We start from the raw sequence: 24,350 nt of genomic DNA on the forward strand, positions 1-24,350 counted from the left end.
ACCTTGCAGTATGAAGTGGGGATTTGGCCTCAGTTTCTCTGTCTATAAAACAAAGTTAATCATCCCTTTCCTGCTTGTGCTATGGGCTTGGTAGAGTTGGAGGTATTAGGGGAGAAGAGAGGCTAGGGTATTATTGCCTCTTCTCAGGGTCTGGGCTGGGGATGGGACTTTTAAAACTTGCTCTTTCCTCCTCTTTCCTGGGCAGCTCACTCCTGTATGCATCAACCCTCATCCTTGTGGGGAGCCATCTCCCTGTTCACTTGACATCAGCTTCCCCTCTCTCTGAATTGACCTGAAATTTTCCCTTTTACCTTCCACAGGTGGGTAACCCTGTGCATGATGAGATTTTGGCAGCAGAGGTGAAGGAAAGGCCTGGGACTAAGTCCTACTCACATTCTACCCTACGGCGGCCCTCCCCTTCTTTATCCTGTCTCTTGGTGATGTGGCTTGGGCAGCCCTCTCTCACCTTCTCTGTTGTAGTCTGGATAGAACTGTGGTGGGCCAGGGAGAATGTTTGCATTCCTTGTCTCTACCCTGCTTGGTACAGAGTAGGAGGCAGAGGCCCTTTATGGTGGGGCCCTTTGGAAATGAGGTTTTGCTGTGCTTTGTCGGATGCCCCTGGCAAGATTGGTAATTATAGACATAACAGCTGGGAACTGGTTTGAGAGAAGCAGGCTTGGAATCAGCAGACCTGAGGATATCCTGGTAATCAGGGTGGGGCAGGGAGAGGGGAGAGTGGGATGAAGCTGGGGGCTGGGTAGGGTGGGAGGCTTGGGGCCTCCTTCCCCTGCCGCTCCACACACAGCTGGGCTTAGAGCCTAGAGGAGAGTGGGAGGTGATTGGAACCCAGGTCTGCTTTACTGTAAGTGAGGAAGGAGGAAGGAGAGGAGGAAAGGTGGGGGATCCAAGGGCCTCTGAAGAAAGAAGCAGAGAGGAGGAAGAGGCATGTTGGTTGCTCTCTCAGGCAGTACCTGGATGTGGTCTAATTTAGAACAGGGACAACCCTGCACCTAGAGGTGGTTCCATCTTATTTTGGGGTGTTTCTCCTTACAGTGAGGTTATGGGAGCAGGAAGTGGAGGGGATTCGCTGTGGACCCACTAAAGGAGAAAAGGTGGGAACTAACATTTTTTTAAGCATCTATTGTGTGCCAGAATCTGTAATATTCTGCATACATTATTTTGCTGAAAACTCTTAACCTTCTGAAGTAGGCACTATTATTGCCATTTTATAGATAAGGAAACTGAAGTTTGGAAAAGGGGAGCGACTCACCTGAGATTACATAGCTCGTAAAAGGCTGTGCCAGGTCTGACTTCAGTGCTCTTCCTTTTCCCAAAGTCTCTTCACCTTCCCCTACTGTCATTCCAGTTCGGTCTGATTGCTCATTATTGCCTTTAATCTTGCACTTGAGTAATTCCCCTGTTTTCTGAAAAGCAAACATGAGTCCAGTGTCAGCCTGAGGAGTAGAGAAGCCTACCCTTGAGGGTGGGAGTCAGAGAACGATCTCATCTCCAGGAGGAGCACCTTGGTGTCATAAGCCTGGGGCGGGGCCAGCATCTGGGCAGAAACCTCTCCTGGGGTGGGTCTCTTTCTCCTTGCTGGGCCATGATTTTGGATGGGGGTTGGGGTAAAGGAGTGACTGTAGGCTCCGGCCACCATGGCCCGTGGGGTCTTGTTTGTGAATGGGAGGAGCCTGGTCCTTATTGTCTGTAGGGTTTTCTCACAGCCCCTAACAATGTCCTTCAGACTCCTGTTTTCACCAGAGTGTTCTTGGCTCCCTCAGCCTGGTCAGAGAGAGAGGGTGTGTTTGTTTGTGGGTCTAGGGAGGGGGTTCTGGTTTTTTTTTTTTTGAAACCGTTTCGCTCGTTGACTAGGCTGGAGTGCAATGGCGCGATCTTGGCTCACTACAACCTCTGCCTCCCTGGTTCGAGTGATTCTCCTGCCTCAGCCTCCCGAATAGCTGGGATTACAGGCATGCACCACCATGCCTGGCTAATTTTGCATTTTTTGGAGAGGCGGGGTTTCACCATGTTGGTCAGGCTGGTCTGGAACTCCTGACCTCAGGTGATCTACCTGCCTCGGCCTCCCTAAGTGCTGGGATCACAGGCGTGAGCCACCACGCCCGGCCCAGGGGGTCTGGTTTTTTAGGGTAAGTAGGGTTTAGATAGGAACAGGTGCTGAGCCCGAAGTGTGAATGCAGTCACTTAAAAAACAACAGACTGTGAACAAAAACATGCATTTTGACACCTGCTTTACTTCAGGAATGGAGGTGGCAGATATAAGGGATGGGAGAGTTGAGAATTTTCAGCAAAGAGTGAGAATCTCAGGTAGGGGGGTGGTCGCGATGGTGGAGGCCGGCTGGTACTTGGGCCTTTCAGCTGGATCTGGTTTTCTAGATAAGAACTGGCCAAGTTGCCAGATCCAAGGCATTGGGCTGAGGCAACAGGAGGTTCTCAGGATGGGGATACCCAGCCCTGCCACCCTCATCCCCAGTCACACTGCATCTCACACCCTGAGGCCCACTCTACCACTTTCCTACAATCCAGCCTTTGCTGACAGTGCCCCCATATGTTCTTCCCTCACACTCCATCCTCACAGCTCAACTCTCCCCATCCACAGCAAGCCCGAGGTTGGCTAACTTCCCCTTCCCAACTAGCTGCTTTTCACATCTTTGCACCCCAGGGCAGGGGCTGGGTGAGCAGGCTTTGAAGGTCTTTTGGGGCCAGGGACAGTTGGGGCCTACCTCGAGCAGCAGGCTAGGAAGAGGGGGGCATTTGTTTTTGGAGTGTACAGGACACTCACTGACTTACGGGTCAGCACAACTCACCCACCTCCCATTGTCCACCCTCTCCCTGAAGACACCTCAAGCTGCCTGCTTTCCTTCTTGGTTCTTCCACAGCTCACCTGGTGGGCAGGTACGGGCCAGTTCTCTGCCTAGGCCAAGGGAGGAAGCAGCTCAAAGCCTGGTGGTGGAAATTGTGGGGCCTGCCTGTTGGTAAAAATTAAATGGAGAATCCAGAAGCCCTGGTTGCCTTCCCACCAGCTTAGTGTCCCGTCTTCCCGCCGGCCCCCACCTGGGACAGATGCCAGGGGCATTACTCACCTTTTCTCCTGCAGCCTTTCCACCCCCAGTGTTCTCTTCAAGACGGACTAGGAATGGGTCTGGGGAAGGCTAGGGAATGGGGTGCTATGGGACATGAATGTGCACACGTGTCTGCTTTTGTGTGCTGTGTTGGGGGGCAGGTACCTTCTGGGAGCTGGGATGGGGGTGGGGGTGCCAGAGAGACAGCGGAGCAGGTCTCTACAGAACCTGCCTAGCCAGGGTGGGTGGAGCTGGGTGGGGCAGGCAGGAGTGATTCCAGGTTTCAGAGGGGGAACAGAGTGTGGGTGTGTATGCGTATGGGTGGGTATTTTGGTGTGTTTGCGGATTTAGAGGTCCTCGGCCTCACCCCCAGCCTTAGACTGAGGGAAATTCAGGACGTAGGTGGAGAGGGGCTTGGCTCTGGCTTCCCCAACTGCTTTTGAGGTAGAATGCAAGCTCAGGTATCCTGGCCAGGAGCCCAGTCTGTGGGCCCTTCCCCTGCGGTGCACCCTGCACTGGGGTCTGCTGGTGAGAAGCTGCTCTGGAAGCCTAGATGCCTGGATGACACAAGCATGGCCAGGATCCCACCCCTCCTCTGCCACTCAGCCCAGTGAGGAGAAGGATCCTGCCCCCACCCTGGGGCTATGAGGATGGTGAGCTCATCTCTGGGGCTGTCCTGGGAGAATGCCTGGTTAACAGGGCGGGGGTGGGGCACCTGGTGCCAGCTCCTGGGCTCCCTGCTCTGCCCTTCCCACCCCTCAGCCCACCAAGATACAGCTGTTCTCTCTGGCCTCCTGGGCAGCACTGTCACCCAAGGACAGCCTTTTTCAGGGTTTAGGAATGAGGGTCAGGGCAAAATCTTCATCCTATTTTTGGTCCAGGGCTGGAGCTGGTCCTTGCCCACTCTGTACCTTAGTCTTTTCGGTGATAGCAAAAGCCCAGCCTCTCTGGATGGGTGGCTTGCCCATAGCCCAAGGCTGGATGGGGATGAAGGAACATCAAGGTTCTTAGTTGTGGTAGATGGATGGGTGCAGGAACCACCCCTTTTGGGGATAGAGGCTCTTTGGTTCTGGCTGTCTTAGCTGAGGCCTGTCTAGTCTCTGTCTCTTTGTCCCTGGTGAGAAGAGGGGGCAGGACGGAGTCAGCAAATCCTCTCCTGTCGTGGCCCTCTTGCAGTTGTGGCTACTCAAGGAACCAGTGTCCAGAGCAGTCTCATGGAGAAACCTGGTCTCACTCCAAGAGGAGCACTCCTCAAAGTCAGTGTTACTACGATTTTCCAACAATTAGAGGAGGCCAGAAATGGGCTGCCGTAGAAGTAGTGGCCATGGGCTAGTCACCTTCTCTCTCTGGGTCCCACTTTTTTATTTGTAAAATTTGAGGTTGTCCCTCTAAGGCCCCTTTCAGCTTGGTGCTGGGAACTGCTGAGAAGAGGGTGGTTCAGCCAGCTGTGTCCTCCTGAAGGGAAAAGGGAAAGGGAAAGGGAAAGGGGAAGGGGTGTCAGGGGAATGATATGGGCATAGTCAGAGGTTCAGGTACCTTCCTTCCGTCTGTGGAAGCTGTGTTGGATGTCTGCATTTTCAACCCACACCCATCAACTTCAGCCCCCCACCAGGGCCTGACAGCGCTGCCTGGGTTGAGCACATCTGTGAAACTCAGGGGAGGTGTGTGACAAGGAGGAAAACCAAGCAAGGCTCTGAAGTGCGACAGCTGTGTCTCGAGTCTCTGCTCTGCCTTGCACTGGCCTTAGGCCTTGGTGAGGTACTCTGACTGTACTCTGAGCTAGCACGGAGAGCTAGCTCCTGGGATCCTGGGCTGGGAGGTTGGACCCTGGGCTTAGTTCTTGCCACCTCCATGGCTGAAGGTGGGCTTCCAGCACTTTGAGTGGAACTTATATTGATATCCTTGGACCTTGGCACTATGGATGGTGATGATTAGGGAGCCAGGCAGCTAGGGGGTGCCCACATGCATACCCCTGCCCACGGGCTGCAGTGGGAAAGGGGTGCAAGGCATATGCAGGAAGACCCAGGCTCCTGAGTAGGAATCGGAGACCTTTAGTGGGCAGGGGCCCACAGACGACTCTTCAGGCAGGTTCTGAAGCAGTAATCACACCCATTTCCCTGTGTTCAGGCAGAACCACCCTTCCCTAGTCCCTGACTACGGAGAGAAAAATGGTCCTATCAGAGATCTCTGCCCCTGTCTGAGGAGAACTTGAGGCTTCTTGTCCTCTTTCCCATCGTCTTCCCGTCTGGCTGGAAGTCTTTTAAAAATCAAACCCAAGCACCCTTCTCAGCTGCTTCCAGCCCTGTCCTCGGTGGAGATGAGGAACACTAGGTGCCCTTTTTAGGTACATGTTTTGCTCTGTCCCTGCCCCCCTTTTCTTCCGTGGCCTACTCACCCTGGTTTCCACAGCTCTTTCTCCCAGCCCCGTCTGCATCTATGCTCTGTCTCATTACCTCACCCCAGGCCTAAAGTAGCCGGGACTGGGCTGCGGGGTGGGCCCGGGCTAGAGCAGTGGCAGGAGGTGGCGTCTGGAGCTGCCTGCGTCTGGTCATCGGCCCCCAGCACGCGCCACACATGGGGGTGCTGGCGTTTGTGTTCAACGCCTTGCCCACTTGAGCCGCCTCCTTTGAGTGGGAAATGGGAAAGGGTTGGTCCGCCCTGGTCTGTGTTTTGGCCAACACCCACCCCCCTTATACACACACACACACACACACACACGCACGCACGCACGCACTACTCTAGGGCCCTGCTCCCTCTGCCTGTTGCCAGGTTCTGAGTGTATTTTTTCCAGAGGCCTCCAATTGTTTCCTGAAGAAACCTGATCCCAGAGCTCAGACAAAAGCTGGGGCCGCCAGAGGAGAAACCCCATTCTCTCCTCCTCTGTCCCTATTGCCCCCACCTCCATAACCTCCCTCCCTTTGGATGCTGGGTATGGGTTCCAGGACCCGGCTGCCATCACCTAGGCAACAGGGGGCTTTTGTTGCCATGGTGATCAATGTGGGAGAAGCTGGGCAGCAGGGACAAAAGCCCCCACATTCCCCCCTGCCAAGCTCCCCCCCAATCCCCTTGGGATGATACTGAGACACATTCCATTAATTTTATTTCTGAAAGGCCTTTGGAGGGGAGAAGGGTCTCCTTTTTGTAACAGGCTCTCTCTTCTCTCCCTCTCTCCTCCCTGGCCTCATTTTAACCCCAGATAATCCATGGTTGGTTTGAGCAGGGGACTGAGTGTGTGTGTTTGTGTCTTGGGAAGTGGGGGGCAAGGTGAAAGGCAGTGGGGCACATTCCTTTTCTATAGCCTCCCCCTTCCCCAGACTAGGGCAGCTCCCTGTCCTGCACCAAGTCCGGACTTCCCTCCCTGTCTCGTCATCCCTCTTGACGTTTCCACTTGTTGATCTCATCCAGCCATCCCCTCCCCCCATCTCTTCCCTGGGAACGCTGCCCACCCAGGGGACCCTCCAAACCCCTGATCCCTGAGACTGATTAAATAAGGGGAACTTCTGCCCTTCTCTTTACTCCCCTCTCCTCCCTCCTCCCAGGCCCCCCAGCAGCAGTGCTTGGATTAGTTCCCTGGTGTACTTGAAGACACAGCAGGCAAGGGTCTCAGAAGTCGGGTTCATTTTTGGCACCTGTGTTTGGTAGGGAGGAGACAAGCGTGTTTTGGTGCTTTTTGGGCACTCTGACTTGGGTTGGCAGGCCAGGGGAGCAGGATTCATGTTGAGTCTTTAGTAAGTAGCAGGGGAGGAAGATAGGGGGCACTAGGCTGGGCAGCTCAGAACAAAAGGGGACTGGTACCCTTGTCTGGTTTGAAATTTATCTGTAGGGGAAATGAAATGGCATCAGTTTACCTTCTGGGTGTGTTTGAAGTGGTGGTTCTGGTTGGTGTGTGTGTGTGTGTGTATGTGTGAGACTTCTTTATTTAGTTGTACTAACAGCAGGGTTTATTTATACCACCTCTTTCCCTAGTCTCAGAGGAAGTGTCTGAGGATTGGAGTATGAGTGATCCTGGAGCTAAAACTTGTTAATTGCTTAACTAATTACTAGCTGAACCATTTATAAAAGCACTTCTTTCACCCTCGTGATCCTTACGGCTACCCCATGAAAAGGCATCATTGTCTTCACTATTTTACTAATGAGCTTACCAGGCTACAAGCACAGAGGTGTTAAGTAACTTGCACATAGTCACACAGCTAGTCAGTGGAAGAGTTAGGTTTTGAACTCAGATCTTTGAGTGCACATCTCTGGCTCTTCTGGCTGTTGGCTTTGGCAGATGATGGGTATACAGGAGGATGAGGAGATGGACAGCCTGGGATCTAGTGTGTGTGTCTAGACTCTAGTCCGTGGCAGTTGTTTACTTCTCCACCCCCTTCTCTACCCCCATGTCACTCTGTGACCCACTCGTTGCCTTTGAGCCTCCTAGCAAAATTCAGTTTTTATGAAGAAGACTAGAAAGAATAGGCTGGAACCACAAGAGAAATGCAGGTCAGATGTCTAAACTATAAGGAGGAGTAGGCCAGTAGAATGGGTCCTCAGGAGAGTGGGTAGATGAGCCCAACATATATTTTTCAGGTAGGGGGATAAATAAGGGTCATTTTTGCTGCAAAGTTTTTTGGAAAGGCTTATGGTTGGGTTAAGGTATTATGTCCCTGTCCTCTAAGTGTGTCCTTATCACGCACGTGCTTTGACATGGGGATACTGACAAATATAACTAATCCTATGGAGGATTGCCTCCATTGAACTCTGTTAAGAAGATGAATGAATAGATTTCACATGCTTTCATCTCCCTACAGTCATTATAGTTTCCCTGAGAGCCAGAGAGGCATACAGTCATGGATGTTTTGGTCAACGATGGACCACATATATGATGGTGGTCCCATAAAATTATACTATTGTATTTTTACTGTACTTTTTCTATGTTTAGGTACACAAGTACTTACCATTGTGTTACAGTTGGCTACAGTGTTCAGTACAGTAACATGCTGTACAGGTTTGTAGCCTGGGAGCAATAGGCTATACCATAAGGCCTATGTGTGTAGTAGGCTATACCGTCAAGGTTTGTGTAGGTACATTCTATGATGTTCCCAGGATGCAGCTGCCTAATGACACATTTCTCAGAAAGTATCCCTGTGGTTAAGCGAGGCATGACTATGTTCATTTACTAGGTTGGTATCAGTTCCTTGCTCTGTGCCCATGGGAGGCGAGATGGATATAAATATGTATCAATCATATTGCTTATTCTCAAATTACTGATGGTTTAGAGTAGTTGGAGTAAAGGTAATGATACAAAGCAAATCCATTTTAGGTTTTTTTTTTTTTTGAGACGGAGTCTCGTTCTGTCGCCCAGGCTGGAGTGTAGTGGCATGATCTCGGCTCACTGCAACCTCCACCTCCCAGGTTCAAGCAGTTCTCTGCCTCAGCCTCCTAAGTAGCTGGGATTACAGGCACCTGCCACCATGCTTTTTAGTAGAGACGGGGTTTCATCATCTTGGCCAGGCTGGTCTTGAACTCCTGACCTCGTGATCCACCCGCCTTGGCCTCCTAAAGTGCTGGGATTACAGGCTGGGATTACCCGGCCCCATTTTAGTTTTTAACATAATCAGCCTCTCAGCAGCATTTGACCTGGTTGACTTAATTCCCACCTCAAAACACTGTTAAATTTCTGGCTGCCTTGAGACCCCACTCTTCTGGCTCCCCTCCTCCTCTGGCCTTCTCATCCCCTTTGCCTGCTCCTTTTCCTCTGGACATGTCTACCTATTGGGGTCCTTTATGTCCATGGAAGAGTTAGGTTTTGAACTCAGCTGGATCTGAGTTCTATCTATCCCCATAGCTTTTCACACACTCAGTACCTCCAGCTCAGACTGTCCTCCAAGTCTGGCTCGTCTGACACCTGGCTGCCTACTGTCTCATGGCCACTAACTTAGCAGGCTAGAAGCTGAACTAATTATCTTCCCTCACAAGGCTGCTTCCTCCCCAGTCTTCCCTACCCTACTGATGGTGCTACCATCTGCTCCCTTGCTCAGGCCGGGGATTCTTAACTCTCCCTTCCCGCTCATTAGGTCCTGTTGATTTGACCACCAACATTAAGTCTCAAACATGACTGTTACTCACTCTTCTGTGGCTCTACCCTTAGCAAGCCTGTACTACTGCAGTCGCCTCCTTATTGATCTCCCTGTTTCTATTTTTCCCTCTTTTCAATCCATATCTGCATAGCTAAAATCCTTCAAAGTTTTCCTGTGGCCTTAGAATAAAATAAAGCTCAAGCTCTTCACCTGGTGCCTGGCTGTCTCTGCAGTGCCACCTTCTACCACCCACTCTCTTCCTCAACTCTAGCTCCACTGGCCTTTGTTGGTTCTTTAAATACAACAAGCTCTTTCCTGCCTTTGGCCTTCACACATGTGATTCCTCTGCTCCATGGGCATTTTCCTGCACTCTTTGCTTGGTTAATTCCTATTTCTTCTTCAGGCCTCTGCTGAGGTGTCCTTTTCTCAGACTTTCTAGAACCGCTAAGTTTAAAGTGGTAGCCCTTACTCCATGGGTGTCTCTCATAGTTTGCTGTTCTGCCCTTCCATCATGCCTGCAATCGGTCGTTTATACTTATCTGCTTACTTGTTTGGTGTGCCCCTTCCCTGCTAGACTGTAAACTCAGGGTCTGTTATACCACTTTATACCTAGCAGAATACATGGTTCATAGAAGGTGCTCAAACAAGATTTGATGCGTCAATGACTGAAGATAGGAAGTAAGCGCTCGGTGGATGGTGATGGCTGTTAGGGGAGTCAGGGTCAGCAGGGAAGATAACATTGGGTCTAGAGTAGGTGGGGGCTCCTATGAGGGGGTGGGGCCGGGCTCTGAAGAATGAGCAGGATTTGGGTGGGGGTTAGAGAGAGGAGAGGTCATTCTCCTCTGCAGAATCAGAAGGTGAAGTATGGTTGAAGATAAGCCTATAAATAGGCAGATAAACTTGTGCCTTGCCTGTTTCAGAACTTCAGGCAAGTAGAAACTTGTCTTCTCCTCCCATCCCCTACCATATTATCCATAGTTTCCACCCCTCACCCTCACCTGGGGCTGTGCATATGTGTGGCAACCTCAAGGAAGCTGCCAGCCTGATCTTACCGGTAACACTGGGTGTGTTTGAAGTAAATGCTGGGGAGATGGTATCAAGGGAAGCAGCCCACTGTGGGCACACTCAGAAAGTATGAGTGAGGGGAGGAGGTGTAGCATGGGGAGAAGAGGCCTGGGGTAGCCCCTGGACAGAAGCCCGCTCCTTTCTGCTCTCTGAGGTGTCCACTGATTCAGCCTGTTGGCCTGGCCAGAACCTGCCCTCTTCATGCCTCGGTTTCCCTGGCTGAGAATAGGGAAGCAATGCCCTGCTCCTCCCTTCCAGAGGGCTTGGGGTTGGGTCATTCTGGGTGAGCCTTCCTGCCCTGGGAGCCTTTGCTGGCCATCTTCCCCCATGCCTGAGTCCTTGGCACAGCCTGGCAGGGCTCTTTCTAGAGAAGGGTAGGAGGAACTGGGCCCAGTGGACAGCAGGAACCTGGGTGGAGATATTCTCAGGCTATGGCTGGGCTCATTTGAGCCTCCTGTGGCTGTTGTGTGCAGATGGTCTTCCTCTGCCCTGACCCCACAGGGAGCTCGAGCCGCCTCTAACTAGCTTCTTCCTCTCACCAGGAGCGTCGCTGGATTTTCTCTGAGACAAGCCCACCCGTCCAGCAAAATAGAGTCCCTCAGGGTGACAGTTGACTTCCTGAAGGTGCCTCTTGGCCTAAAGAAGCCGGTGCTGAAGGAGGTGGCTGTGGGGCCCCCCAAGAGGCCCCAGCCTGCGGCCCTGGAGCGCTACAAGGCGCGGCGTTCAGACGCCATGGACACCGAGTCCCAGTACTCGGGCTATTCCTACAAGTCGGGCCACTCCCGCAGCTCCCGCAAGCACAGGTGGGCAGGCATGCAGGGTGACATGCGTGGCGGAGGGAGGGTTGGGGGCTGTTAAGAGGTGGGCACGTGCAGGGGTGGTAGGGTAGAGTGGCTGCTGAGAAGACCCTGGTCCACCACTGGACTTTCTGTGCCTTTTCTGGCTTCCTGCCGCAGGGACCGCCGGGACCGACACCGCTCTAAGAGTCGAGATGGGGGCCGAGGGGACAAGTCGGTGACAATCCAGGCTCCCGGGGAGCCCCTGCTGGACAATGAGTCCACACGAGGGGATGAGCGGGTGAGCACTGGGGATGCGGTGGTCCAGACCGGGCATTTTCAGACTGCTCCTGAGGGGCTGGAGGCTCCACGGAGTGGGGGAGGGCTTGGAAACCTGGTCTCAGACAGCCATCAGATCGGGGAGTGTGTTTTGTGTTACACTTAGCTTGGCTTAGTGTCTTAAGGTAGGACCTTCAGGAATTTCAGTATAGAGATCCCTCTGGAAGCAGCAGCCTCTCCTTCCTTATCTCCAGAGGAGTGGGGGGTGACCTGGGCTGTATGATGGGAATTGGCCAGCTCCTCTGGAGCTGCCGCCAGCCAGTCAGGCCCGCTGGGAGTCTGGAGCAGGAGGGTGGTGGTGGTGGCTGGGCCTGGGGTATGTGTGAGCAAAGCTGAGTATTCCTGGAGCCTCGAGATGTGGGCACTCTGTGCCCTCTGGTGTCAGCCTGTAGAATGGCGTCACCTAGATCTTGGGAAAGGAGTATGGGAAGAGTAGATGGAGAAAGCCCAAGGGACAAGAAGTAAGGCTGAGGGATGGAGCAGGGACCCCAGGAGAGAGTTCTCCAGGACAGGGGTGAGCAGGTTTTCTATTCTAACCTCTGCTGCCCACTGTGCTCACCTGGTAGGGAGGACAGTGGGCAGAACACAGTCCTGGAATAGGGCAGAGGCAGGATTTTAGGTGACACTGAGGTTGCCCAAGTCTCATTCCCCTTGGGATCATCTTTGGGGGCTGGAGATTCCCAGCTCCTTTTTCCTCAGAAGAAATCTCTGTGGCTGACATTGGGAATTCCTGGGCCTTGGGAGCAGGTCAATACCTGAAGGAAATGTTCTTTTTCCCTCTCTCCCAATCCCTTCTTCCTGGGGCCTGGCCTCCTGAGTTCTTGAAGTGACCCTGAGACATGACCAGCTCACCTGCTACTGGGGAGGAGATCCCAAGCCCTTGGTCCTTGGAGGGGGTGGGCAGTATGTCTAGGGGTCAGAGGGCGGGGAGCAGACCCAGGGCTTTGAGCTGAAGGCAGTCAGTGCATCTGCTTTCTATCTTCACATCAGACTCGTTCCCCATCCTGTAGAGAGGAGGTTCCTCAACCTCCCTAATCACTGGTGCTGTCGGGCTGCCTTCATCCTGTAACCTCAACCTCCTGGGTGTCAGGTTGTGATTCCATATCCCCAGGCTGTCCCAGGAGCGAAGGGTGGGTGCTGAAGGCAGCTGGTGGTCTTGGGACTCCTCCGTGGGATGGCCTCCAGCCACTGCAGAGAAACAGCTTGAGCAGACCACACTTAGAGGGACACCTGGGGACCTCAGCCTGGCCACCTTCTTGCCTCCAGAGACAGGTAGCCTCTGCACTGTAGACATTTAGATGGCCCAGCAGAGGTGGCCTTGCAGACCAGAGACCCAGAGTGGCCTTGAGTCTGCACAGTGTCCTTCACGCCTTCACCCCTTTACCCCTGGGGTCTTCTGTTCTTCTCTGTGCTGCTTTGATCAGGTTTACTCCTTCAGTGGCTCTCCATGCCTGGAGAACAGGTGCTTATTGCCCAGCCCAGCACTGCAGCGTGGCCTGCACAAGCCCTGCCTGGCTGCTGTCTGCCTTACCTTCCTGGTTGCACCTTGCTGTGCTTCTGCACAGGGATCCTCTGCTCTCATAGCCCTTGGGTGCCTCAGTTCATGCCATTCCTGCCCTGGAGGCTCCTCCTCTAGCTTCTGCCAAAATCATGGCATGCTGGAAGGAACTTAGATAGGACTTCCATAATTTTTTTTTTTTTTTTTTTTGAGATGGAGTTTCGCTCTTGTTGCCCAGGCTGGAGTGCAATGGCACGATCTCTGCTCACCACAACCTCCTCCTCCTGGGTTCAAGCGATTCTCCTGCATCAGCCTCCCGAGTAGCTGGGATTACAGGCATGTGCCACCACACCCAGCTAATTTTTTGTGTGTGTGTGTTTTTAGTAGAGATGGGATTTCTCCATGTTGGTCAGGCTGGTCTCGAACTCCCGACCTCAGGCGATCTGCCCACCTCGGCCTCCCAAAGTGCTGGGATTACAGGCGTGAGCCACCGTGCCCAGCAGGACTTCCAGAATTAATGTTAATGTTTGAGTGATTCATGTGGATCTTGTTAAAATGCAGATTTGGTTCAGTAAACATGCGGTGGGCCTGAGGTTCCGCCTTTCTAACAAGCTCCCAGGTGATGTCCACACCGCTGGTCCACAGATCACATTTTAAGTAGCCAGCCAGCCCTTAGAAATCATTTAGTTCAGTGATTCTCAATCTTGGATGACCATTACAATCATCTGGGGAGTTTTTTGTTTTTTTTTTTTAAAGGTTCACAAGCAGATTGCACTCTCCAATAATTAGCATTATTTTCCAACTTCCCTAAGTGTTCTAATGTGTGCATCTGGGATTGAGAACATCTTCCTTGGAGCCCCCTTCCCCCAAGGATCAGCTCAGGTCCCACGGTTTCTGGAAGCCTGCCTGCTTTGCTTGGCGAGTTTGCCCTTGGATCCCAGTCACTGCCTGAGCAGCATCTTCAGCATTTGTCCTGTGCTGTCTGCTCTGAGGGTCATTGCCGCATGTGTGGTTTTTTCCTCTCTCACTGACCAGTGTCCAGCTCCCCGAGGGCTCGGGTCTTGGATTTGGCCATCTGCAGAGGCCAGACTTTGACACACATTGGAGCTCAGTAAATACTTTGATGGTTGCGTATTTGTTGATTACCCTCTCTTCTTTCTGCCTTCTCCTTTCCCATGTGTTCTTCTCTGTCTCCTGTCCCCTCACCCTTTCTCCTGTTTCCCTCCTCTTCCTCTTCTTATCCTTTCCTCCTTATTGTGTGGCTGGCCCCCTTCTGCCTGTAGGATGACAACTGGGGGGAAACGACGACAGTAGTAACGGGCACCTCAGAGCACAGCATCTCCCATGATGACCTCACACGCATCGCCAAGGACATGGAGGACAGTGTCCCTCTGGACTGCTCCCGTCACCTGGGTGTGGCAGCGGGGGCCACCCTGGCACTGCTGTCTTTCCTCACGCCTCTGGCCTTCCTGCTGCTGCCCCCACTGCTGTGGCGGGAGGAGCTGGAGCCTTGCGGGACGGCCTGCGAGGGCCTCTTCATCTCTGTCGCCTTCAAGCTGCTCATCCTGCTACTGGGCAGCTGGGCTCTGTTCTTCCGCCGGCCCAAGGCCTCGCTGCCCCGCGTCTTTGTGCTGCGTGCCCTGCTTATGGTGCTGGTTTTCCTGCTCGTGGTCTCCTACTGGCTCTTCTATGGTGTGCGCATCCTGGATGCTCGGGAGCGCAGCTACCAGGGCGTGGTGCAGTTCGCCGTGTCGCTGGTGGACGCCCTTCTTTTCGTGCACTACCTGGCCGTGGTCCTGCTGGAGCTGCGCCAGCTCCAGCCTCAGTTCACGCTCAAGGTCGTGCGCTCCACCGACGGCGCCAGCCGCTTCTACAACGTTGGCCATCTCAGGTACTAGCCCACGGCTGGAGAAGGGTTGGGAGGGAAAGGGCATGGGAGGATGTGGAGTGACTGCTAGGGTGGGAGGGTATGATGGTGGGCTGGAGGTGATGGGCTTGGAGGGTTGTGTGGGAGGGAGTTGAGTACTTTGCACCAAGTAGGTTTTCACCAATGTTTGCTGCTTGATAGGCAGGTTCATGTACACGGTCTTGGGGCAAGATCAGTTGGGAGTTATGAGATGGGAATGAATAGGCATTTAGAGGTAGGGAATATTAGAGGGGGATGGACCAAAGGGAAGAAATATGGGGGGGTGCACAAACAGGGGCTTTTTGGAATCCCTTTTCTAGTCCTTTCTGGGAGGCGCAGCTTCTTGTGAGCACTCAGAGTGGCCTGTGAAGTGACCTGGCCAGAGGAGGGATCCCCAGAGAAAGAGATAAGGAGGAGAGTTCTTCAGCTCCCAGTAAACAAGCTACCCCTCGAGGCCACACAGAATATCAGTGGCACGTCCTGGGTCCTGTAGAGGATCTTGGGGGAACGCTGAATGGGGATGAGGTGATCTTTGGCTGGGGACCCAGGCCCAATGCCCTTTCTCTGCTAGGCTTTGGCATGGTGGGGAGGGACTGGCAGGCCCAGCCCTGGGAAAGGCTTGGGAGCCTGGTAAGTAGACCTCAGGCCCGGAGTCAGGCTTCTCGGAAGCAGCTTGTCCCTGTCCTGTGTCCTCTCCTGCCCTGCCAACCTGCCCTAATGTGTCCCTTTCCCCTGTGCCCCTTGGTCTGTCCCTTCTCCCACCCCCTCCTGCCGTCTCCCCCACAGCATCCAGCGCGTGGCAGTGTGGATCCTGGAGAAGTATTACCATGACTTCCCTGTCTACAACCCTGCCCTCCTCAACCTGCCCAAGTCCGTCCTGGCCAAGAAAGTGTCTGGCTTCAAGGTGTATTCCCTCGGAGAGGGTGAGCAGCCCTGCTCCTCTGCCCTTCCCTGTCTCTTCCCAAGCAGGACTCCAAGTTCCCGCCTCTCTTTTACCCTTTGTCCCTTGCTTTTTCCTTTCCTTAGCCCATGTTCTAGCCGCTTCTATTCAGTCATTTCCCTTGACTCCAGGTGGCTGATCTTAGCTGCTCATCCTACTTGCTGTCCCTTTATGCTATGGCATGTCCCCTGATCTGGCTCCTCTGTGTCTCTCATCAGCCCTGGTCTAAGCCCTTTGGCTCTCGGAGCTGCAGAACCCCCTGCACTGGGGAGGAACAACTGCAGGACTCTTGCGCTTCCAGTGCCTTCCTTGTTGCTTTCCTATGGCCTCTCCCAGAGGTGGCCAGGAGGGTTGGGATTAGGAGGTATTGCTGGGTGGTGGGAACAGCTTCTTCTGGACATGTCAGGCTGCTGTCTCCAGAGCTCCTGGAGTGGGAAGAGAGGCCACACTCTGATGTGACCATCTCCTCTATCCTGTTCCTGTGCAGAAAACAGCACCAACAACTCCACTGGCCAGTCTCGGGCTGTGATTGCAGCGGCAGCTCGGAGGCGGGACAACAGTCACAATGAGTACTACTATGAGGAGGCTGAGCATGAGCGAAGGGTGCGCAAGAGGAGGGCCAGGTGGGTCCCTGGGGGAGAAGAGGAGAGGAGGTGCTTGTTGGGTGAATGGGGAGAGGAAGACCAAGGAACTTCTGTAACTGCTGGAAATATAGGGCAATGATGACATGAGTTGGGGGTGTGTGCTTGTTTTCCGTTGCTGCCCTAACAGATTACCATAAACTTAGCAGCTGTGAAACAGCACACATTTATTATCTCCCAGTTCCATGGGTCAGGTGCAGGCTGGCTGGAGGCTGTGCTCAGGCCTCACAGGCTGAAATCAAGAGGACTCTCATCTGAGCCTATGCTTTCTCTTTCAAGCTCATTATTATGGGGAGAATTCAGTGCCTTGTCACATAGCCCCATAGGCAGTTTACATGATGGTAGTGCACTTTTTTTTCCAGCAGAAACAGGTCTCTGACCTCTGCCACCAGCTGGAGATAATGCTGATTTTAAAGAGCTCATGTGATGAGATCAGGCCCTAAAGGACAGTCTTCTTTTAAGGCCACTGACTTGGCACATTAATTACATCTGCAAAATGTACCAAGATTGTTGTCTAATGAGGGGATGGGAGTCTGGTAGAAGTGGAGGGTATCTTTGAATTCTGCCTGCCACAGTGGGGTAGGGACCCAATAAAGGGATGTGAGCTTTACCTGCAACAGCATGGACTCAGGCTAGACTAGCCTGCCTGCCAGTAGATCTTGAGAGGACTCACCAGATGGTGCTTTTGTTGCCTTCAAAAAATGACGTTTTATTGCCTATATTTTGGTAAATTCTTAAATGCCATCCTAGCTTCTCCCTTTCCCTATTCATATTATTAAGTGAATTTAGTCAACCCTGAAGAATCTTACTTGGTGCCTACTCTGCCGGGTTCCATCTTGGTCTGTCGGGAGTTCCCTGAGGGAGGAGCAGAGTGCCTCAGGACTTGACCACGCACCTGGCCTCCGCCCCATCTCCCACATGAACTCCAGGCTTCAAGGGCAAGAGGTAGCCCTTACCTTGTTCCTATTTGAGGCTGGCATCCCCTGTAGTAGAACAAAGATCACCAACTCCATTTCTGTGGCATTCCAACCTGTCTCTAATTGTCTTGGAAATGGCCTGAGACTTGGGAAGGAAACCAGTGATGTCCCTACCCCTTTATCTTCTGCCCTGACCAGGGTCATCCAATCTCCTGTACTGCCACCACCATTTTTGGCACATAGAGGACTCTTTCCTTTCCCCATTACCTTGCTTTTAACCAGGAGCAAACTTTTTCCTTTGTTTACCTGAGATAAAAGGATCTTTTCAAAGGGAATTTACTGAGAAATGTAGGGGAAGCAAGAGAATAAAGGAAGAAATGATAGACATACACAGATCCACACCTATATACCCAGAGTCCCATCTGAAATGACTCAGGTTCCTGGGTTCTGCATAGAAGGCCTCACTTTCTTTCTTTGTCCTGTCACTTCAGGCTGGTCCTGCTCTTAGGCCAGGGGGCTTTTATTTTGGTTTTTGGACTTGAAGTGCAGATAATTGCATTAATTGCTCTTTTCAGCTTCTAACATATTGTCATTATAGAGTTTTTCATGGTTCTTTATTCTGTTTCTTCTTTTCCTCCAGTTCCCACTTTCACTCCAGCGCCACATTTTAGGCATCCTGTTGAGTGTGTTTGACTTCCTTAAAAGCTATATGTATCCTTGTGCAAAGTTAGTGTTAGTGTAGTGATCTTTGTTGGTGTTGGTGTGTGTGTCTGTATGTATGCTTTTTTTTTTTTTTTTATTGAGATGGAGTCTTGCTCTGTCCCCCAGGCTGGAGTGCAGTGGCATGATCTCAGCTCACTGCAACCTCCGCCTCCTGGGTTCAAGTAATTTTCCTGCCTCAGCCTCCCCAGTAGCTGGGATTACAGATGCACACCAGCATGCCCAGCTAATTTTTGTATTTTTAGTAAAGATGGGGTTTTGCCATGTTGGCCAGGCTGGTCTTGAACTCCTGACCTCAGGTGATCCACCTGTCTCACCCTCCCAAAGTGCTGGGATTATAGGCATGAGCCACCACACCCGGCCATCTATATGCTTTTAATGTAAATGGATTTTTTTTTCCTGCTTCCTCCTTAACACTGTGTTTTTGAGATTCATCCAAGTTGTCTGTACATCTAGTTTGTTGCATCTTTTTGCTGCATAGTAGTTCATGGAATACTCCCAACATCCTATCCAATATTTGGTTTATAGTTACCTTCTTTCTTTTTTCCATTTTGATGGAAAAGTAATATTTTACTAACATTTTCATTTGCATCTCTCTAATTGCTAGCCAGTAACTACTTCGTATATCTTTTAGCCTTTCAGTCCTCTTGTGAATTTTCTGTTCACCTCCTTTGCCCTTTTTTCTCTAGGTTTCCTGTCTTTTTCTTCTTGATAGAAATTGTAGCAAATTCTTTGCATGTTCTAGATCTGAATCCCTTGTTGGTTTTAGATGTGTATATTTTCCCCAGCTCCATCAGATGTCAGTTAATGTTGCCCATGCTGTCATGGTTGAACAGAAATCTGTCATTTTGATGTAATCATATCTATTAATTGTTGAGCCAATGAAGTATGATTTGGGGGTCTTATTTAAGAAGGTTTTCCTTAAAGTTTGGTGGAATGCTTTGTCTTTCCTATAGCATAGTTCCTAGTTGTCTCTCTGGGTTTGACACTAGGTTTGCCCTCTGAGTCCCTGGGCTGGGCCCACTGAACTCTGTGGCTGTTTACTGTTCCCAGTGGCAGAAAGGCACTATTGCCTCTGGCTTTGTATTACTTTGGGTGAGCACAAAGGCCTGACCTCATTCAGGCTGCTGGAGTGTTGGAGCTAGGGGAGAGGGGTGGGGTGGGGGAAAGAGAGGTGGGCATCTGGCCCAGTCCCCTCCTGTCCCCTAGGCTTGTAGTGGCGGTGGAGGAGGCCTTCACTCACATTAAGCGGCTGCAGGAAGAGGAGCAGAAAAACCCCAGGGAGGTGATGGACCCCCGGGAGGCAGCCCAAGCCATCTTTGCATCCATGGCCCGTGCCATGCAGAAGTACCTTCGGACCACCAAGCAGCAGCCCTACCACACCATGGAGAGCATCCTGCAGCACCTTGAATTCTGCATCACGCATGACATGACGCCCAAGGTAGGCCTGCCCTGCTGCCAGCATCCTTCCTCCTTCCCCAGCTCCTCTTCTTTCCCACCTTCATTTTCCCTTATTCTCTCACTACTTTCCTCACTGTCCACCTCATTTCTCTCTCCTCACCACCTCCTTTTTATAATCTTCTCTCTCATTCCTATTCCACCTGCCCCATCTGTGTGGGGTGAAGTCTTTAGGTAGATGAGGAGAAGGGAGTCCTCAGGACCATTTTGGGGATGGCTGAGACTTATTTCTCATCTCTATGAGGGCTCCGGAATTACCAGATCCAAAGGCCCACTTTCACCTCCATTACCCTCTTCACCTCCACTAGCTGGTCTTGGCTTTGTGTCATTTTGAGCCATTGCCCACCTTCAACTCTATTGCCAGCTTCCTAGAATTGCTTTCCCTGAGCCACCCTTGGTGAGCAGGTAACTAAAGATGTTGCACTTTAACCTTGACACCTTTGGCTCCCTCCTGGTGCAGACCTGCTTGGCACGAATCATACAAGCTGTGTGGGAAGGAAGGAAGAATGAGGGAGGGCTTGCCCAGGTCACAGCCTGGTGCAGGGAGAAGAGCAGCAGATGGGGGTCAGGGGAGCCGAGTTCAGTCCTACCTGATGAGCCACATCCCCCTGTGCACTCCGGCTTCTTCATTTATAAAATGAGGGTCTGAAGCAGATGATCTCAGGCCCCTTCCTGCTGTAACATTCTGAGGTTCTAGTTCATATGCATAGAGTGAGCTCAGGGACGTCCTTCTTGTCTTTGGAAACTATGACCTAGGGGATGAAGGACCGTGGGTAGATGACAGAGATTCTTATGCAGCCCCTTCTTTCCACTTCAGGCCTTCTTGGAGCGATACTTGGCGGCTGGACCTACCATCCAGTACCACAAGGAACGCTGGCTGGCCAAACAGTGGACATTGGTGAGCGAGGAGCCGGTGACCAACGGCCTCAAGGATGGCATCGTTTTCCTCTTAAAACGCCAGGACTTCAGCCTGGTGGTCAGCACCAAGAAGGTCCCATTCTTCAAACTCTCCGAGGAATTTGTGGATCCCAAGTCACACAAGTTTGTCATGAGGCTGCAGTCTGAGACCTCAGTGTGACTGTGCAACAGCAGGGGGAGTGGGAAACTCTGGGGGGTCCTGAGGGGGTGGGAGGGGGCTTGGTTCTCAGGCCCAGCCACATTCCTGCCACCCTTCTTCTTCTTGCTCTTTTTTTTTTACTTGAATTAACGCACCCCCACCTTCTCTCCTCGCTTCTTCCTTATTTTACCCCATGTGAACCTGGAGAGACCATCCTGCTGTCAACAGTACCTGGGAAGGACTCCCACCTCACCAACAACTTTTGTATTACTCTAGGCCCTGCAGGAATCAGTGCCTCTCTCCCTCTTCTTTCCCTAGTCTTTTCCCAGATTACAGTCTCTCCTGAAAGGGCACAGGGCCCTGCTGATTGTACTTTCCCCTCCTGAGCCCCGACTCACAAATCCAAGTTCTTAAAACATTTCTCTTCAGTGGCCCAACAGGGTTTCTCTGGGGCACATGGACATGACTCCAGAGAGCCACAGTGCCAAACTCCTCCAGGGCAGCAACTGGCCCTCCTGTCCCTCACCCCAGCCACAACAAACCCTGGGTTCTAGGGCAGGGATACTCCTGCCACACAGCCCGAGTTAGAAATCTCCTTGCTAGGAGCATTTGCTTCCACATATATTTAGAGCAAAGAAGGATCCCATCCTTTTCCCAGAAATCTCCACCTAATGTTTTTGGTTTGTATGGTCACGTGACCATAGGCAACCACGTGGAAACCCTCTGTGACCACTTTTCCAGGGACTTAGGGGAAGGTACCTTTCTTCCAATGTGTCTTCCTAGGCAGCCCCTGAGGAGGAGGGCTGAATAGATCCCTGAGGTTTTGGAGAGACCCCCATCACTGACTCCTGCTCCCTAACCCTACCCTCACTTTCGTCCCCGCTCTTCCCAGTGAAGGATGGTATGTAGACTCCTGTACAGACATAGTGGCTTGCAGACCCTGACCCAGCCCCTGTGGTCTTAGACAAATGTTTTTATTTTTGTCACCAGCCACCCCTGTCCTGCCGCCTTCTCTCGACTCCAGAGACCTGTTGCCTCATCTCTTTTGGGGAAGAGCCGGCAGCTCCTCCTCATCCCCTGCCTTAAGTCCAGTTCTTTGCCTCAGGGGTCTCGTTTCCTTGGCCTTCCAGGGTCCCCACCCCTTTTCTCCCTGCCTGATTCTCTGAGCTCTGGGCTCCGTCTGTATTGGGTTGAGGGGCAAGGATTACTGCCTTTTGTAGGTACTTCACCCCTCACCCCATTTTAGCTTCCATAGTCTTTGCACCAAATCCAAATTCTTGATAATTTAGATCTCATTTTGAGCAAAATTTGCTGGCCCTCTAATAAATATTTTCAATATAAATCTGAGCCTTTGACTCAGACATTTTTGCCAAGGAGAGTAGAATTAGGAAGTACCCATATACATCCAGCCAGGATCCACATGGAGGACCTTTCTGATGGCTGCAATGACTAGGCCATTCCTCTGAGTAACTCACAGTGTCCTTTTGTAGGCCCTTCTTTTCCCTGAAAGACTGGTTGGTACTTACCTTGCAGAGCACATCCTGGGATAAGATCCCCAGTGTCTCCCCTGGGAGGCTCCCCCTCTGTGTAGCACCAGCCCTGGGAATGATGGAGCCTAGTGATCGGGGTTTCTCCTGCTGTCCTTTCTGCAAAAGTTCACTTGTTTACCCACCGCATGCTAGAGAGGAGCTCATTGGCCAATGCTTACCTTGTCCCCAAAGGGGTGGGTTGTGGAGCTCACTTAGGCAGGGCCTCTGGCTGGGGCCAGGGTTATGAGATAGGCCTGTATGAAATATGTCCTGTTCTGGGGGTCTGTCTCTTTTCTTCTCTTCAAAAACTTTGTGTCAGAGAGTCCCTTCTGAGTCACATAAATACCTCACTATCCTGGAAAACAGGGCCTGGATGGTGACTGGGGTCATTGCCTTTGTGGACAGGATGGAGTGTGGTGTGGTCTGAGGAGCAGGTTGGGGTGGGGGAGAGGGAAAGGATTTGGGATCTTAGTTGCTGCCCTAGGTTAGGGGCTGGGGAGTGTTTATTTTAAGATCCTGCCATGTTTTTAATCACTGTGATTTTTTTTTCATTCCCCTTTCCTAAAAAAAATTTTTTGCCTCCAACTCTCTAAGCACTAAGGGCTGTGCCTGAGAATGGTAGCATTTTGGTCTTTTGCTTCAGAACTGTGGTATCTTTGTCTTTTTTCATTATTATTATTATTATTATTATTATTATTACTATTGTTTTTTAAAATGTCAGGATGAATTGTCAGACATATGGCCATGTGTTTGTCCTCTGCTTCTCCCCTGTGGGAAGTTGTCTCCATGCTGTGAACTGCTGTGGGGTGTGCAGCTGACTCAGTCCCTCTGAGCAGTTTCCCCACTGTGTCTGTCCCATCATGCGCTGGATCTGCTCATTCTCCTGCTGTGGGGGTATGCCCACCTCTTACCCCCTTGACACCATAGGGCTGCTGTGGCTGGGCCTCACCAGCACTGTCTTTTGTGTGACTCATGGCATCCTCGTTCATCCCCACCGTGCCTAGCAGGCCTTCCTTTTCACCACCTCGGAACGCTTGCCTTTCCTCCCTCCACAACAGGACGCTGTGCCTCAGTCCTTCACCTACCTCGCCACTCTGCCACTGTCCCCATTGGTCCTTTCTCCTAAACTGGTCTTTGTGCTCTCTTTGTTTTTTCTTATTTCCCTCTTGTCTCTCATTTTTTCTTCCCATTCCCCTCCCATTTCAGCCCTTAACTTTTCTCTTTCCCATCTCCACTCAGTATTCCAATGGCAAACCCTGATGATGTAACACCTGCGATGAGACATCGGACTCTCCGGAACTTTCTCATCTGACACGTCTTTTTCCCAGGGTTCGTACTTCTCCTCCATTGGTCCCAGGCTAACTCCCCTGTTCCTCTGTGGTGTCTGTCAGTCCGTCTGTCTTCTCTTTCCTCTGCCCTTCCCACAGGGCAGTATCTGCTGATGGATTCAGTCCTGGTGTGTGATTGTTGTGATTTGTTCTTCCGTGCGCAAAAGGAAGAGGGCTTTTTGAGTCCCTTCCAAGTGAGATTGTAAATGTAGAATTTTCCACTGTTGGATCTAGATTTTTTTTCCTTTTTTTTGGGGGGGTGGGGTTACAGAGCTGAGACCTTGTGCATGCATGTAGAAAATTGTAAAATGTAAATTTTTTTTAATATATAAAAAGCTTGTTTCTACAGTTTGCAGTGGATCTAAACATTACGGCAATTTTAGGATTTTTTTCTTAAACATAGGAACTAAAACTGTACAAATTTTTTTTATATAAAATAAAGACATTTGACTTTTGTGGGGGCATTCTGTTGCTTTTCTTTCTTTACAGGAATGGGAGCAAATGAGGGCCAGGGAATAATGAATATATTCCTTGTTAGGGAGGGAATGGGCAGGAGGGGGCAGTGTGAGCTCATCATTGCTCTGCAGGCCTTCAGGGTGTGTTGGAGAGAAATGGGAAAATGAAAAAGGAAATTGCTTATTCTGAATCCTGATTCTAAAGAGAGAGAAACAACAATGTGAGGGCTTAACCACTTCCTGGTGTAGTTGTCAGGATAGAGAAAGAAAGATTACTTCCTGGGTCCACCCTCCTGAGCAAGCTTGTGTCTGTATGGCCTCTAGGGCAGGAGTGGGTTTCTAAAACGTATTTCTAAAACATAAAGTGCCATAGGAATTTCAGGGGATAGTTGAGATTTCAGTCAGTGGTGACAGCCCATCACAATTCATTGAGACAAGTTTCTGTAGTATATATATTAGTTCTAAATATGTAGAGAGTTCAGTGCTCTGTTGTCACTGTAATGCATGTAATCAGGTACTAAAATCACCCTCAAGAGATTGGGTCCCTTCTCCCAGTCTTACCTGGGCCTGACCTCTGTGACT

At 51.4% G+C, this 24,350-nt stretch overlaps 1 protein-coding gene and 1 long non-coding RNA gene across 8 annotated transcripts in view, besides 2 other annotated features; one reads left to right on the forward strand and one right to left on the reverse strand.

Moving 5' to 3' along the window:
- Window positions 1-3,354, reverse strand: part of LOC105371466 (uncharacterized) — a 30,841-nt gene extending 27,487 nt beyond the window's left edge. The window contains exons 1-3 of one of the 3 annotated variants that reach the window (XR_007066686.1): window positions 3,102-3,343; window positions 2,903-2,987; window positions 1,271-1,424 (exon numbers count right to left, since the gene is read on the reverse strand). This is a non-coding gene — a long non-coding RNA (uncharacterized LOC105371466). Of the gene's footprint in view, window positions 1-1,226; window positions 1,425-2,902; window positions 2,988-3,101 lie in introns of those variants that run through there. The other 2 variants (XR_007066685.1, XR_922199.3) reach the window with 2 other exon arrangements.
- VANGL2 (VANGL planar cell polarity protein 2) overlaps window positions 1-23,769 on the forward strand; it is a 28,107-nt gene extending 4,338 nt beyond the window's left edge. For 3 of the 5 annotated variants that reach the window (NM_020335.3, XM_011509804.2, XM_047426020.1), the window contains exons 2-8: window positions 10,747-11,007; window positions 11,161-11,281; window positions 14,101-14,708; window positions 15,510-15,646; window positions 16,151-16,286; window positions 19,151-19,382; window positions 20,217-23,769. In NM_020335.3, the coding sequence (NP_065068.1) occupies window positions 10,937-11,007; window positions 11,161-11,281; window positions 14,101-14,708; window positions 15,510-15,646; window positions 16,151-16,286; window positions 19,151-19,382; window positions 20,217-20,477 (1,566 nt within the window). In that variant the 5' untranslated portion in view covers window positions 10,747-10,936 and the 3' untranslated portion in view covers window positions 20,478-23,769. The other 2 variants (XM_005245357.2, XM_011509805.4) reach the window with 2 other exon arrangements.
- Window positions 4,400-5,275: an enhancer, noted in NCBI's record as "H3K27ac-H3K4me1 hESC enhancer chr1:160379091-160379966 (GRCh37/hg19 assembly coordinates)". NCBI's record gives its function as "activates a minimal SCP1, AML or CMV promoter by ChIP-STARR-seq in primed H9 embryonic stem cells {active_cell/tissue: H9 hESC(primed)}" and the evidence as "EXISTENCE:reporter gene assay evidence [ECO:0000049][PMID:30033119]".
- Window positions 5,698-5,992: a silencer, noted in NCBI's record as "tiled region #8449; K562 Repressive non-DNase unmatched - State 7:EnhWF". NCBI's record gives its function as "represses a minimal TATA promoter and a strong SV40 promoter by Sharpr-MPRA in K562 cells {active_cell/tissue: K562}" and the evidence as "EXISTENCE:reporter gene assay evidence [ECO:0000049][PMID:27701403]".

The sequence above is a fragment of the Homo sapiens genome, chromosome 1 (genome assembly GCF_000001405.40).
Source record: "Homo sapiens chromosome 1, GRCh38.p14 Primary Assembly".
Classification (NCBI taxonomy): domain Eukaryota; kingdom Metazoa; phylum Chordata; class Mammalia; order Primates; family Hominidae; genus Homo; species Homo sapiens.